We start from the raw sequence: 15724 nt of genomic DNA on the forward strand, positions 1-15724 counted from the left end.
ATTCTCTGAGTCTCAGTTTTCCCATCTGTAAAATGGTAATGTTATTACCGCTCACAGGGACACTATGAGTATTAAATACAATAATTTACGTAAATACAATACTTTATAGTACTTTCCTGGAACAGAGTGAGCACCCAATACACAGTAACAATTATGTTTGTTTCGCTATCACAGAATTACTGATAATAACAGGTATCCCTGCAATCTATTCCATTGAGACTATTTTTAGTATTAAGTTCCTTCCTCCAAATCAAAATACTTTTATTTCACCCATTCAAAGTCAAATATTTACAGGCTGGGTGCGGTGGCTCACGCCTGCACTTTGGGAGGCTGAGGCAGGTGGATCACTTGAGGTCAGGAGTTGGAGACCAGCCAACTCCTGGTTGAACATGGTGAAACTCCGTCTCTACTAAAAATACAAAATTTAGGCCAGGCGCAATGGCTGATGCCTGTAATCCCAGCACTTTGGGAGGCCGAGCTGGGCGGATCACCTGAGGTTGGGAGTTTGAGACCAGCCTGACCAACATGGAGAAACCCCATCTCTACTTAAAAATACAAAATTAGCAGGGTGTGGTGGCGCATGCCTGTAATCCCAACTACTTGGGAGGCTGAGGCAGGAGAATTGCTTGAACCCGGGAGGCAGAGGTTGCGGTGAGCTGAGATTGCGCCATTGTACTCCAGCCTGGGCAACAAGAGTGAAACTCCATCTCAAAAAAAAAAAAAAAATTTAGCTGGGTGTGGTGGTGTGCACCTGTAGTCCCAGCTACTCAGGAGGCTGAGGCAAGAGAATTGCTTAAACCTGGGAGGCAGGGGTTGCAGTGAGCCGTGATAGGGCCACTGCACTCCAGCCTGGGTAACAGAGCAAGACTGTCTCAAAAACAAAAACAAAAATAAAAGTCAAATATTTATCATGAGATTGAAATATTCTTCTTTGAGACAATTACCATATATGCTCCACATCTTCCTAAATCTGATTCTTAAACAGCAGCAGCTGAAAGAGGCAATTATTGTAAAGAGCAGTTGCTTTAGAAAGAAACATTTTTCTCAGGCACTTCTATAAATAGAAAGGTGTGGTGAGGGATGTAAATTATGATCTGCAATTGTGATCTTTCAATTATGACATGCAATTATCTTAGAAATTCAGCTACGATACCAGGCAAATGTTTACACCTATATCACAAATCTGCCGCTAGGTATAATCCTTAAAGTCTCAAAATTAGCTCCATGCATTACACAGAGTAGGCTGAATAAATGATTGCTTAGCAACTTTAGCAAAATAGCACAAGAAGGGAAGAAAAGTACTGAAACAGGAGATCCAACCATGATCACGGGTCTCTAGTACTTAAACACTGAGATTTCTGCAGGGCTCTATGTGCTGAAAAATCTCAAGTATCTCAAGAGTGTGTCATAAATGAAGAGTGTCAGAAGTGAGCAGATCATAAATGTTCAAAACAAGTGTGGGAGGGACCTAGATGCAGGGACTACATCCGGAATATACGGTGCCCTCTGATGCCAATCTCATTGTTTTTTTTTTTTTTTTTTGTGACGGAGTCTCACTCTATCGTGGAGGCTGGAGTGCAGTGGAGCAATCTCAGCTCACTACAACCTCTGCCTCCTGGATTCAAGAAATTCTCCTGCCTCAGCCTCCCGAGTAGCTGGGATTACAGGCACCTGCCACCAGGCCTGGCTAAATTTTGTATTTTCAGTAGAGACAGGGTTTCACCATGTTGGCCAGGCTGGTCTCGAACTCCTGACCTCATGATCTGCCCGCCTCGGCCTCCCAAAGTGCTGGGATCATAGGTGTGAGCCACCATGCCCGGCCTCATCCTCTTATACACACACTTTGGGTCACACCTTTGAGCTTTTTAGGTTTCAATGTATTCTCCACCATGAAGCTATTCAGAATTATCCTTCTCCCCTAAGTCATCTAATTTTCCCTCCTTTCTCACCAAAAACACTTCCTCAGTAATAGGCAGAGGATTATTACTTGAAGTTGCTTTTTTTTTTTAACTGAGGAAATGTCAGGCATGTTATTTTCAGAGTGATTTAAACAGCTCTAGTGTTATAGCTAAACAGAAAGAACAAAGATGCTAAAATATTAATCATCCTGCCCAGCTGCCCACTGGGAGTAGCTGAAAATGGCAACGTGCTGCTGTCTCCTGGCTTCATGTCTACGTTACTGCCTGTGCAGCTCACAAACACTCCCTTTCCTGAACATATGGAGCAATCTCAGGAAGGAATTTGCCTCAGTGAACCCTGACTAGCCAATCAAAACCAGACGGTTCCAAGTTCAGTGACTAATATCAGGGATGAATTGTGCGTGGTGAAAAGGAAATTTTGTGTGCCGGAGAAATGTATACCCTGAGATCAGCCATATCACAGGTGTGCAGGATCACCTGGAGAAAATGAACTTGAGAAAAGGCGAGTTCAAACATTTCTTCAAGCAGCACGCCTGTCATCACAGAGTATGAAAAACTGAACAGCGCTATGCGGTATCGGATCACTCGAACAACGACGACAACAATAGCTGCCTTTAGGGAGGACTTCCGGGACTGAAGCCAGGGCAGCCACTGCACTGAGCCCTGCATATACGCGATCCCATTTAGTTTAATCCTCACAAACTGTAAGGTAGGTACAATCACCTCTGGTCTACATACAAGGGATGAGGTTTGAGAAGATTAAGTGAATTGCTCTTCCTTGCACACCTAGAAAATGGAGGAAGTGGGTATCTCTGATTCCAAAGCCCTTGTTTTTAACCACCATACTATTTTAGTATTCTTTTTTTTTTTCAGATGGAGTCTCGCTCTTGTTGCCCAGGCTGGAGTGCACTGGCGCAATCTCGGCTCACTGCAACCTCTGCCTCCTGGGTTCAAGTGATTCTCCTGCCTCAGCCTCCCGAGTAGCAGGGATTACAGGTGCACGCCACCACACCCGGCTAATTTTTTTGTATTTTTAATAGAGAAGGGGTTTCACCCTGTTAGCCAGGATGGTCTCGATCTCCTGACCTCGTGATCCGCCTGCCTTGGCCTCCCAAAGTGCTGGGATTACAGGCTTGAGCCATCACGCCCAGCTATTTTAGTATTCTTTCCTTCTTTCTCATGCCCTGATATTCATAGGAAAGGTAAAAAGCTTGTAAATTAGATGGAAGAAACATTAAAACCTAATAGGTATTGGCTGTGTGGGATGCCTTGGAAAACATGGTGGACTGTTTCCAAAGAGTGGACTAAATTCATTAATCGCCCTGGGAGATAAGTACTACTTCCAAGATGAAAGGCATTTTTGGCTCTTGAGAAGGCCCAACATTTACACATTTTAACACAGGCATGGAAATAAGCACTGGAGAGACATTTGCTAGCTCTTCAGAATCCATACAAACTGCAAAAACTCAGGAAGAGTGCTACAGATTTCTAGCCAGTTTCATCTTAACAGGTATAGTGATATTAAATCCCCAAATTCATTTCCAATATCAAAAGTGACATAGGCCTGTGTCCAATATGCCCTCTTCTCATCAAACTTGGCCTGGCAGGGTTACCAGGACAGTGGTGTGGCCAGGCAGCTCCATGAGAACCTGGGGAATCTCAATTCAACCAACCTTCACCAACCACCTCCGAAGCATGAGGCATTCTTATGACAATAACAATGCACACTTACTGAGCGTTTACTATACACTAGGTGGTGTGCTAAGTCCTTTACAGCCTTTTTTTCTTTTGAGATGAAGTCTGGCTCTTGTCCCCCAGGCTGGAGGGCAGTGGCGCGATCTTGGCTCACTGCAACCTCTACCTCCCAGGTTCAAGTGATTCTCCTGCCTTAGCCTCCTGAGTAGCTGGGATTACAGGTGCCTGTCACCACGCCCGGCTAATTTTTGTATTTTTAGTAGAGATGGGGTTACACCATGTTGGCCAGGCTGGTCTCGAACTCCTGATCTCAGGTGATCCACCCGCCTCAGCTTCCCAAAGTGCTGGGATTATAGGTGTGAGCCACCGTGCCCGGCCTTTTACATGCTTTTAACTCATTTGATCCTCACAACAAACTCTGTGAGGTGGGTTCTTATTTTTCCTACTTTATAAATGTGATAACTGAGGCGTACAGAAGTTAAGTAATTTGCCAAATCCTAGAGGCTTCCAGAGCTCTCTGTCTTAATCACTAAGGCTATGCTGTAGGGTCTGGAGGGTGAAAGCAGTACCCAGCTTCAGGACTGCAACAGTGTTGCAGAGGATCCAGTCTCCCCTGGGTTAAGGAACAGAATGAATATCCATCCACTCCCCTCCCTGACAACAATGACTGCAGAAAACAAGCTAGGAAGACCTCTCTCTTCCCCTTAAGGAGTGGGAAGCATGCTTGGTTAATTGAGAGAAGAGCATCCTGGAGAAAGGCTCGCTTTGGAAAAGGAAGAGGAAACAGGGAAGAAAAGAACACCATGAAGGTGACCAAACCATGGCTTCCATGCACTCTTGCTTCACCAAAGTGCAGGGGAAACCCTTTCCCCTGAAGAGGGCGTTGTGCTGCTTAATCCACTCTCCGGAGTGGCTCGGGGCATGGAAGAGAAGCAAGGAGCAACTCCAGGTGGCAGGGGACCAAGGTTGCCTGCTCTGACCCTCCCAGTTGTTCCAGGCACGTCCAGGGCCTTTTATCCAGCACAGCAACTACCATCTCCCACTATTTTTACAAATGTTAGTTTGAAATGGATCTTGAAGTAGTGGGAGCTATAGGACAGATTCCAGTTGTTTTCAAACAAGCTGTAACTGAGTAACAGTTTTTAATACAGAAGGTCCTAAAATATACAGCTGCCATAATAATACACATGTAACTCTAAAAGGCATAGGAGAAAAGACACAATATTACACATTTTAAATGTAACACAGCTATGGTTAGAAATAGCGTAGAAACAATATAGCGAGGTTTGTTTTATTTTGTTTTTGGTTTTTTTTGAGATGGAGTTTTGCTCTTGTCACCCAGGCTGGAGTGCAGTGGCACCATCTCGGCTCACTGCAACCTCTGCCTCACGGGTTCAAGCAATTCTCCTGCCTCAGCCTCCCAAGTAGCTGGGATTACAGGCGTGCACCACCGCACCCGGCTAATTTTTGTATTTTTAGTAAACACGGGGTTTCACCATGTTGGCCAGGCTGGTCTCAAACTCCTGACCTCAAGTGATCCAGCCGCCTCGACCTCCCAAAGTGCTGGGATTACAGGTGTGAGCCACTGCACCCAGCAATATAGTGGTTTTATCTCAAGGATTAATAAACATCTTACGAAAATGTTAGGAATGGGGTGATAACATCCAGAGACTTGTATTCTAGTTAACTCAGTCCCCATCCGACCCAGGTGATTTAATACTCCATACCTAACAATTTTCAAATGCTTAAAACTGGCAGATCAATATCCCACGTGTGGCAGGCACAGAGACGCACCACACAGTTCCTCTTTCAAGCAAGGCCTTTCTGCCTCAGCTGCTGGGAGTGCTCTTGGCAGACGGTCTTCAACTGCCAGCCTCTCAAGGGCATAGAGCTGCCCTGCCCAAGGACCCGGCCTTCCCAGGGTGTTCCCCATCCAATGACTGATCAAGGCTGGGGCATATAAGCCCAGCAATGTGAATTCAACGTGGGACAATCCTGAAGGCCATTTCGGCACCCGGGCTTCCCAGGGGGCTGTCGTCAAAGCCAGCCGCTCCCTCTGCTAATCCTGCTGCCCAGCTCCCTCCCACAAATGTTGATCCCATCAGTGCTCCTCATACGCATCCCGCATACAAAAGCCCCTCCGAGGCTGCTCCCCAGAGAATCCAACCCGTGCCTCAATGCCTCTATGGAGAAGAAAAAGAAATTCAATTTTCAAGGGAAGTGGTACAGGTTAAGCCAGATGGTTAGAAAAATTGCTTTCATTGTTATCTTGGGAATTTTCCTCCTCCAACAGATGGTTAAAGCTCAACCTAGGAGAAGGCTGGGCAGCTCAGCCAAGGTGGTCATTTGCGTGGTTCCAATCAGATAAAGGAGCACAGAAGAACTCTCAGGGAGGCACACTGAGCTACGTGGTCAGCCTCCAATCTCCTTTGAGCAAGGTGAGTGCTGTCCTGACCCACTTTAAAGCCAGCTCATTAGATATATTCCCATTCAAATCTAAGTCTAAGTTCATGTCTGTCTCTCATCAGTCTGTTTCATCTCTCTCTCTCATACACACACACACACACACACATCTACCCCTAAAGATGTTCCATGTCTCTTTCTCTTCCTTTCCATAGAAAACTGAGGCCTGATTACAGTGGTATTAGTCAGTTACATGTTCATAAGTGATAAAAGATTAAGAAGAAATAGGATCACCTTATTAATGTACATCCCAAGTCGTTGCTTCAAGGACAAACTCTCCGTGAGCCCATCCTAAATATATCTCCCATAAACACAACCAGTTCTTCTTCCTAAAGCTCTCTGTCCATTTCTGGCAAGAAAAAAGTACCAGAGAAAATCCTGTTTATAAAACAAAGCAAAACAAAAAATGGCTACTCTTGGGCTCTTTGATTGGCTGACAAAAGAAAATGGTAAAATGAGTCTTCACCTTATCGTCACCCCTAGAGATGGCCAAGTTTGGAATGAGTTTAGCAACATGAATCCTACACGAGCTAGGAGTGAATCCAGAAGCAGAGAGGAGGGTCACTCTTGGACACAGGACCTCAAATTATCCTGTTCAAATGACCCAAGGGAGTACAGAAACACCTTGGAGGGTCTCCTAAATTCACCTGTTCATAGATACAAAACGCTTATCACTGAAACATACTCTAAACCACTAGCTGTTAATTCCTCAGGACATAATAAATTTTTTTTAATTGTGCTTGTGGATTTCAAACTAACCAAATTGGTTGACAGAACTGTTCTACCTTTGATGTCAATTCAGTTCCCCAACTACTGTTTGAAATGGTTAAAATAAAAACAACAACAAAAATAATAAAGAGTCCTTATCACTGCATTCAAAATGCTTTCTCAAAGATTTCACCCTCCTGGCAGGACTGTCTAGATGGAAAGAGAATGTCGTGTCTCTTCCCAGAATAAACCGTTGAGACCACATTACCTTCCAGTTCAAGCTCCTTTAAGGATTTGAAATTACTTGAAACAACTACTCAGCAGCTTCAGTCTCTTTCTTACGCTGTCTTTCCCTGCTCAAGCACTTGGTTCTAATCAGACCACTTCCTTCCTGCTGCTTTGGTTTTTATTACCAAAGTTCTTCAGTCCTTTTCACCACCCCATATGCTAAACAATTTCCACTTTGAGAAGCACATTCTCAGAGAACTCTGAGGATAAGCCAAGCTCAGCTAAAGATCTTCAATAATGAATGAAACTGTGAAGAGCTACAATTTGTCTTAAGCGGCTTTCACCTTCTTTCTGTATCTTTTTCCTTCTAAAGAGCATGCATCTACTTTTCTCAGGAATTAAGCATTCTCATTCTTTCATTGATTCTCCAAACAGGAAAAGTAACATGATAAATAAGTCATATTTGGTGTAGGCCTCTATGCAGAAAAAGCTAACACAGCAGGCCTAACTGCTTTTTTCTTTTTTCTTTTTTTGAGACAGAGTCTCACTCTGTCTCCCAGGCTGGAGTGCAGTGGCACAATCTCGGCTCACTGCAAGCTCCGCCTCCCAGGTTCACACCATTCTCCTGCCTCAGCCTCCTGAGTAGCTGGGACTACAGGTGCCCGCCACCATGCCTGGCTAATTTTTTGTATTTTTTTTTTTTAGTAGAGATGGGGTTTCACTGTGTTAGCCAGGATGGTCTCAATCTCCTGACCTCGTGATCCACCTGCCTCGGCCTCCCAAAGTGCTGGGATTACAGGCGTGAGCCACTGCATCCTGCTTTTTTTTTTTTTTTTTTTTTTTGACAGAGTCTTACTCTGTCACCTAGGCTGGAATGCAGTGGCGTGATCTTGGCTCACTGCAACCTCCGCCTCCCGGGGCGTGAGCCACCGCACCCTGCTTTTTTTTTTTTTTTTTTTTGAGACAGTCTCACTCTGTCGCCTAGGCTGGAATGCAGTGGCATGATCTTGGCTCACTGCAACCTCCGCCTCCCGGGTTCAAGCAATTCTCCTGCCTCAGCTTCCCGAGTAGCTGGGATTACAGGCGCCCGCCATCACACCCAGCTAATTTTTATATTTTTTATTAGAGACAGGGTTTCACTATCTTGGCCAGGCTGGTCTCGAACTCCTGACCTCATGATCCACCTACCTCGGCCTCCCAAAGTGCTGGGATTACAGGCATGAGCCACCGCGCCCGGCCCTAACTGCTTTTCTTAACAAGGCACTGCTGCCAAGGTTGGCCCTTCCCTGGCTGGCATCCTGGAGCTTGGATTTTGGGAAGGACCCGCCATTAACTGGTAAGAGTGGCAATCTGTGCCTAAGCTGTATCAATGCTCTGTTTCATTAACACCTGGTTTCCTTCTGGGAGTCTGGGATGTGGGTACATGCCAGACAGGGTGCCTATGTGACCAAGACCCTCAAAAAACCCCGGGCACTGAGTCTCTAATGAGCCTTCCTGGTTGGTAATATGTCGCACGTGCTGTCACAACTCATCGTTGGGGTAATTCTGTGCACCCTGTGGGATTCCACTGGGAGAGGATGCTTGGAATCTTGCACCTGGTTTCCCCAGCACTTCAACCAGGAGCCTTTTCCCTTTGCTGATTTTGCTTTGTATCCTTTTGCTATGATAAATCATAATCATGAGGATAACTACAGTCCATTCCCGCTATTCACAGTAATTATGTTCCATAAAGTCACCATGAACACTGAATTAGCAAATACTCAACTGATGTTCCTGAGGGAGACATGTACCTCTATCTGTACATACCCCACACAGATCATAATATTAAATCCTAAAAACAACTCATCCTGGTAGATTCCTTTTTTTTTTTTTTTTCAAAAGAAAAAACAAAGTTCTGAAGTGTTACATAACTTGCCTGAGGCTGCTCCACTAAGAGGAGCCAGAGGTGGGATTTAAGCCTGTCTGTCTGGCCCCAGAGCCAGAGTGTCCACTGGTCATCCCTCTCTGAGGCCGAAACAAAAGGCAGGGCATCACCTTGTTCAACCTCGGCTGGGAATGTGCTTGTGGGGTGAGTCAAACCTTTTGCCACTTTATCCACGTCCATGAGTAAATGCGAGAGTACTGCTAGTATTCACTTGGGGGTTTTAAGTACATTTTAGTGGGTAGGTGAGTATAAGCTGAATCCTTTGAGTCCTCCTAGCAAACCACTAAACCTGGAGGTTGTCTTGGGGACCCCCACCGTAGCCTCCAAGGAGAGACCAAGATTCCCCTTCCTGCAGAGGCACTGAGGAGGAGAAACAGTATGACTAGGGCCAAAGTGGCAAGAGGTAGAGCTTCCAGAGCAACCTGCTCTTTGCATCTGTGATTACTTTGGCTGTTCCTTTGAGGTTCTCTTTGGCCTCTCTTTTTGGCTTGCTTTTTTGAAGTCCCTTCTCCAATTCAGCTGCTACAGCTGGATGGGCCTGTGGTAGCCTCCCTCTTGGAGGTCAAATAGGAACAGCGGTGAATGAAGTTCAGGGGAAAGGAAGCCGGGTGAGTCACCCAGGCCAGCTGTCCCAGGGCCTGAGGAGAGATGGCCTTTTCCTTGACAAGTGTTTCCACAGCTTTTCCTTGGAAAACCCTCATCCCTTTCTAGTTAGATGGCTTCTCAGCCTGGCTGCGTGGCCAGGGTCAAGACCAGTATATGGGCCTAGAAGAAAAAAGTCAGGGAGGAACTAGGGCAGAAGCAGCAAAAGGTCCTTGTGACTCAAAGCTGGCCAAACCCATCACCAGAGCTAAAGCTAGCAGCAAAGTCATAGGACAAACACCATGCATGTGTCTCAGGATCTTTTTTTCTTTTTTTTTTTTTGAGATGGAGTTTTGCTCTTGTCACCCAGGCTGGAGTGCGGTGGCACAATCTCAGCTCACTGCAACCTCTGCCTCAGCATCCTGAGTAGCTGGGACTACAGGTGCCCACCACCACACCTGGCTAATTTTTGTATTTTTTTAGTAGAGACGGGGTTTCACCATGTTGGCCAGGCTGGTCTCGAACTCCTGACCTCCAGTGATCTGCCCGTCTTGGCCTCCCAAAGTGCTGGGATTACAGGCATGAGCCACCGTGCCCAGCCATGTCTCAGGATCTTTTCTGCACAGTTAGCAGATTCAAAGACTCTGGTTTCCTTGCTGTAATATAATAAAAATATAGTCATCCCTTGGTATCTTGCGGGATTGGTTCCAGGACCACCCCTTCCATATACAAAATCCATGGATGCTCAAGTCCCATATATAAAATGGTGTAGCATTTACATATAACCTACACACATCCTCCCGTATAACTTTAAGTCATCTCTAGATTACTCATAATCCCTAATACAATGGAAATGCTATGTAATAGATGTTACGCTATATGGTTTAGAGAATCGTGACAAGAAAAAAGTCTGCACATGTTCAGTGCAGATTCAACCATCCATTTTTAAAAAAAAAATTTGATTCTCAGTTGGTTGGATTCATGGATGCGGAACCCACAGATACAGAGGGCCAAGTATACATATGTTTGGTCTTTACCCCAGGTTCCTGGCACAGAGCTTCAAAAACCTTTGGAATTTCCTGAGTGCTAGACGTGTCTTTTGTTATTCATGATGAGTCTTTTTGGACTCCTGCTAATTTCTTTGGGGAAATTCATCTATGAACACATCAGATAATAACTCACGGTAGGCTCTTAGACAATTTCAAAGAAAGGGCTAGCCATACCAATGGCTAGAGGGCTGGAACTTTCAGGCCAACTCCCAACCCCCAGGGAGGGGAGGGAGGCTGGAGATCAAGGTCAGTCAAGTGGCTGATGATGTCATCGATCGTGCCTATGTAAAGAAGTCTCCATAAAAACCCTTGAACAAGGTTCAGGGAGCTGCTGGATTGGTGAACACATCAGTGTGCTGGGGCAGGAGTTGGGGGACAAGGAGAGGGTGATACATGGAGAGGGTGATACATGGAGAGGGCATGGGAGCTCTGTACCACCACCCCAACCTCTATACCTTGCCCTATATACTGTGCCTTTTCCATTTGACTGTCCCCGAGTTGGATCCTTTTAATAAAACTGTAATAGTAAGTATAGTGCTTTCCTGAGTTCAGTGAGTCATTCTAGTAAGTTATCAAATCCTGAAGGGGGGTCATGGGAACCCCTCAGTTTTTTTCTTTCTTTTTGAGATGGAGTCTCACTCTGTCACCCAGACTGGAGTGCAATGGCGCAATCTTGGCTCACTGCAACCTCCGCCTCCCGGGTTCAAGTGATTCTCCTGCCTCAGCCTCCCAAGTAGCTGGGACTACAGGTGCCACTAACTGGGTAGCCAACAATTCAATTCTGACATTACCCAGAGTTAGCATCAGACTCCACAGGTTTAAGGGCTTGATCCCACAAGACTGTTCTAACTTCAGATACCAGCCATTAGTCCTGGGGTATCCCCAAGTACTTTAGTCCAACTGGCTATAAAGCGAAGGGTTCCCAGCCAGGCACAGTGGCTCACGCCTGTAATCCCAGCACTTTGGGAGGCTGAAGCGGGCAGATCATGAGGTCAGGAGATCGAGACCATCCTGGCTAACAGGGTGAAACCCTGTCTCTACTAAAAATACAAAAAATTAGCTGGGCGTGGTGGTGCATGCCAGTAATCCCAGCTACTCGGGAGGCTGAGGCAGGAGAATCGCTTGAATCCAGGAGGCAGAGGTTGCAGTGAGCTGATATCATGCCACTGCACTCCAGCCTGGGCGACAGAGCAAGACTCTGTAGCAAAAAACAAAAACAAACAAAAAAAACTTGTTTTACTGAAGCCTCCAGAACACCAGCTGTTTCAGCAAAATGATTTCTATAGATACTATGACCTGGTAAAAAAATGCAAAAGAGAGAGACTTTGAGCTCCAAACAGTAGAGAAAGCACACATGGTTGCCTCCTTCATTCCAAAGAGCACAATGAAATGGCAGTCAAGCTATTTTTGAAAGAATAAATCCATGGTGGCACTGAAGACACGAAGAAGCGTTATCAATGAAGACATCATTTTGGAGATTCTCTTCAAGAATAGAGTTGGGACTGTATTGACCAATAAACCAAAACTGGGGGTGGGGAATGGGTGAAATACAGCTGGAAATACATCAGGCTGCAGATAAGAAGCTCTTTCTTTTTGACAGAACCCTGGAGAGGCTCCAAGCTTAGAGTCAATGGCTATTGGCAGCCACAGAATGGCCTACAAAGAAGTGGTTATAAGGCAGGAATCAGGGCATCTGAGTGGAGAGCTGTCTACAGAACAGCTGAGCCAGTCTGCCCACAGCCCTGCCCTGTGTAGACTGCAGTCTGCAGTACTTGCCCCCAGCTGGAACCCCCGGAACAGCCTTCTCTGGAGAGGAAAGTTTGCCTGGGAGTGCGCATGGTGTTGGTGTCCAGGCTAGAGAATGAGTCAAAGAAGAGCCTCTAGGATAGACACAGGGGTAAAAAGAAATAAAACATATAAAAGATGTCACCCCAAGATTGGAGTTCTCCTTATGTTATTAGTTTTGTTATAGCAAATGGTCCTGAATCGGCTTGTGCCCTCTTTTACCTAACCATATATCCTAGAAAGAAACCTGCCGACTGGCATATCTTGCCCATTTACACAGAGTACACATCACAGCCTGTCTTCCCACTCAAGAAAGAAGCCTTTCGGGTAAATAAACTTGCCTAAAGGGCCGCCCGTGGTGGCTCACGCCTGTCATCCCAGCACTTCGGGAGGTCAAGGTCGGCGGATCACGAGGTCAGGAGTTCGAGACCAGCCTGACCAACATGGTGAAACCCCATCTCTACTAAAAATACAAAAATCAGCTGGGTATGGTGGCACATGCTTGTAATCCCAACTACTCAGGAGGCTGAGACAGAAGAATCGTTTGAAGCCGGGGGGCGGAGGTTGCAGTGAGGCGAGATCGTGCCACTGCACTCCAGCATGGGCGACAGAGCGAGACTCCGTCTCAGAAAACAAAACAAAACGAAACCTACCCAAATACAAAGAAAGCCTATTGCAGCTACCTATACAAATCAATATGGTCCTTCATTCATAAATATGAAGAATCAATGAAGAATTAGCAGACGTGAGGAAAAGCCCATAGCATGTGTATTAGTTTGTAAAGGTTGCCATAACAAAGTACTACAGACTAGGGAGCTTAAATAACATTAACTTTCTCACAATTCTTGAGGCTAGAAGTCCAAGGTATAGATGTGAGCGGAAGTTGTTTCTTCTTTTCTTTTTTTTTTCTTTTTTTTTTGAGATAGAGTCTCGTTCTGTCACTCAGGCTGGATTGCAGTGGCACAATCTCGGCTCACTGCAACCTCCACCTCCCGGGTTCAAGCTATTCTCCTGGCTCAGCCTCCCAAGTAGCTGGGATTAGAGGCACATGCCACCACACCCAGCTAATTTTTATATTTTTAGTAGAGATGGGGTTTCACCATGCTGGCTAGGCTGGTCTTGAACTCCTGACCTCAGGTGACCCGCCTGCCTCGGCCTCCCAAAGTGCTGGGATTACAGGTGTGAGCCACCGCACCCAGCCAGAGGTCATTTCTTCTGAGGCCTCTTTCCTTGGCTTGTCTTCTCCGTGTCCTCACGTGGCCTGCCCTCTGCATGTGTCTGTGTCCCACGTGCCTCTTTTTCTTTTTTTTGTGAGACAGGGTCTCACTCTGTTGCCCAGGCTGGAGCACAGTGGTGCAATCATGGCTTACTGCAGTCTTGACCTCCCGGGCTCAAGTGATCTTCCGACCTCAGCCTCCTGAGTAGCTGGTACTACAGGTGTACACCACCACATTAGGCTAATTTTTTTATTATTATTATTATTTCTTGTAGAGATGGGGTCTCCCTGTATTTCCCAGGCTGGTCTCAAACTCCTGGGCCTAAGTAATCCACCTACCTCGACTTCTCAAAGTGCTAGGATTACAGGCACAAGGCACCGTGCCCAGCTTCAGGTTCCTCTGCTTAAAAGGATACCAGGCATATTGGATTAGGGCCCACCACAGTGGCCCCATTTAAACCTAATTATCTCTGAAGACCCTATCTCTAAATAAAGTCACAATCTGAAGTAGTAGGGGGTTAGTACTTCAACATTTGAATTTGGGGGGTGACATATAATTCAGCCCATAGCAGCATAAAAGAGAAAGACTAAGATGAATAAACCAAAACTTACCTAGAGAAGAAACAGAAATAACAAAAGGAGCAAAAACACTCACCATTTTTTAAAGTTCTAACTAGTGCCATTCAAAGGATTAAAAAGTTTACAACCTTATATACACACTTGTGTGGAAAAAAAAAGCAATCATGAACATTAAAACCTCTTGGTGTTTAAAACTATCATTCTCAAAATTTTAAAAATCAGTGAGAAGAGCTGAGTAATAAAATGGATACAGCAATTGTAACAGCAGTCAGTAAAACATGTTGGTAAATGTAAATAAAATACTGACTACAGAAATAAAAGGGGGCTTCGGTTGAAAACAAAACAGAAGATGAAGAGTTTAAAGGGAAGTTTAAGAATTCTAAACTTGATTTATTCCAAGATATTTATTTGCTTTAGACTTTGTTAGAAAAATGTAAACTTAGGTATGCATGTTAAATATGTGGGGGTGGCTGTGGCCCAAGGTGGGTGGCCTGAGTATCCCATTCTTGGGTGGGGAAGGGGGAAATTTTCCCATAAAGCTGTCATTTCCCAGCTTCTAGCTTTATTTGGAAAGCCCACTTTCAGCTGCCTGCAATGCGTAGGCCCTATAACCTCAACTCCCATATCCACACGGGTGTGGAAATGCAGGTCCCTAAGCTACATATGTGGTTTGGTTATCTCTGAGGGCCATGAGGCTTCACTCACTCACTGGTGTAGGTAAGTTTCTTCATTTCTGGCACCTGGAGAACTCCCTTTGTTGCTTTCAAGCTCAGCTAAGAATATGAGAACAGTTTTTTTTATTTTGTTGAGACGGAGTCTAGCTCTGTCGCCCAGGCTGGAGTGCAGTGGTGCAATCTCGCCTCACTACAACCTCTGCTTCCCGGGTTCAAGTGATTCTCCTACCTCAGCCTCCTGAGTAGCTGGGATTACAGGCGTGCACCATCACACCCAGCTAATTTTTGTATTTTTAGTAGAGACGGGGTTTCGCCATGTTGGCCAGGCTGGTCTCGAACTCCTGACCTCAGGTGATCTGCCCTCCTTGGCCTCCCAAAGTGCTGGGATTACAGGCTCCAGCCACTGCGCCCAGCCCTGAAATGCTATTTGAAGGCCGACTTACGGTCTTTTGTATACATGCAAAGGAGAAACGGTATACATTAGCATGGAGCCCTAGTCCTGTCCCAAATTACTATTAGCATAAATGTTTCCTGACTGAGACTATTGATTGTGACTAAAAAAACAAAGTCCTTCCTAGAAAAATATAAATACCTTATAGTTTTCAGGGCCTGTGAGGTTTTCACACTGTGAAGCCCTCTGCGTCCTGTCTCATGACCCCTCCACAACTTCATCTGGGTACATGATTCTTGTCACTTGCTGTTTTCCAGCCACATTATACATTTATGCAGAAATATAAAGCCTTTTGATTTCTCCAGCTTGCAAAGTTCTCTGTAGCCTCTGAGATCTCACAGGAGATATCCCCGTTTTCCCTGCGACTCTTCACTGGCCACCTCCTCATCAGCTCCCTTCGGCCCATTCCTGAAGCTGCAGCAGCTGCCTCCTCACCATCCCTTCCACAGCC

The 15724-nt window shown here is 45.6% G+C and overlaps 1 protein-coding gene across 4 annotated transcripts in view, besides 1 other annotated feature; it reads right to left on the reverse strand.

Annotated features, from left to right (window-relative positions):
* Window positions 1–15724, reverse strand: part of STX8 (syntaxin 8) — a 325350-nt gene that overhangs the window by 212728 nt on the left and 96898 nt on the right. The gene's annotated exons all lie outside the window — the stretch shown is intronic.
* Window positions 10792–11293: an enhancer, noted in NCBI's record as "H3K27ac hESC enhancer chr17:9377307-9377808 (GRCh37/hg19 assembly coordinates)". NCBI's record gives its function as "activates a minimal SCP1, AML or CMV promoter by ChIP-STARR-seq in primed H9 embryonic stem cells {active_cell/tissue: H9 hESC(primed)}" and the evidence as "EXISTENCE:reporter gene assay evidence [ECO:0000049][PMID:30033119]".

This window comes from Homo sapiens, chromosome 17, assembly GCF_000001405.40.
Source record: "Homo sapiens chromosome 17, GRCh38.p14 Primary Assembly".
Taxonomy (NCBI): domain Eukaryota; kingdom Metazoa; phylum Chordata; class Mammalia; order Primates; family Hominidae; genus Homo; species Homo sapiens.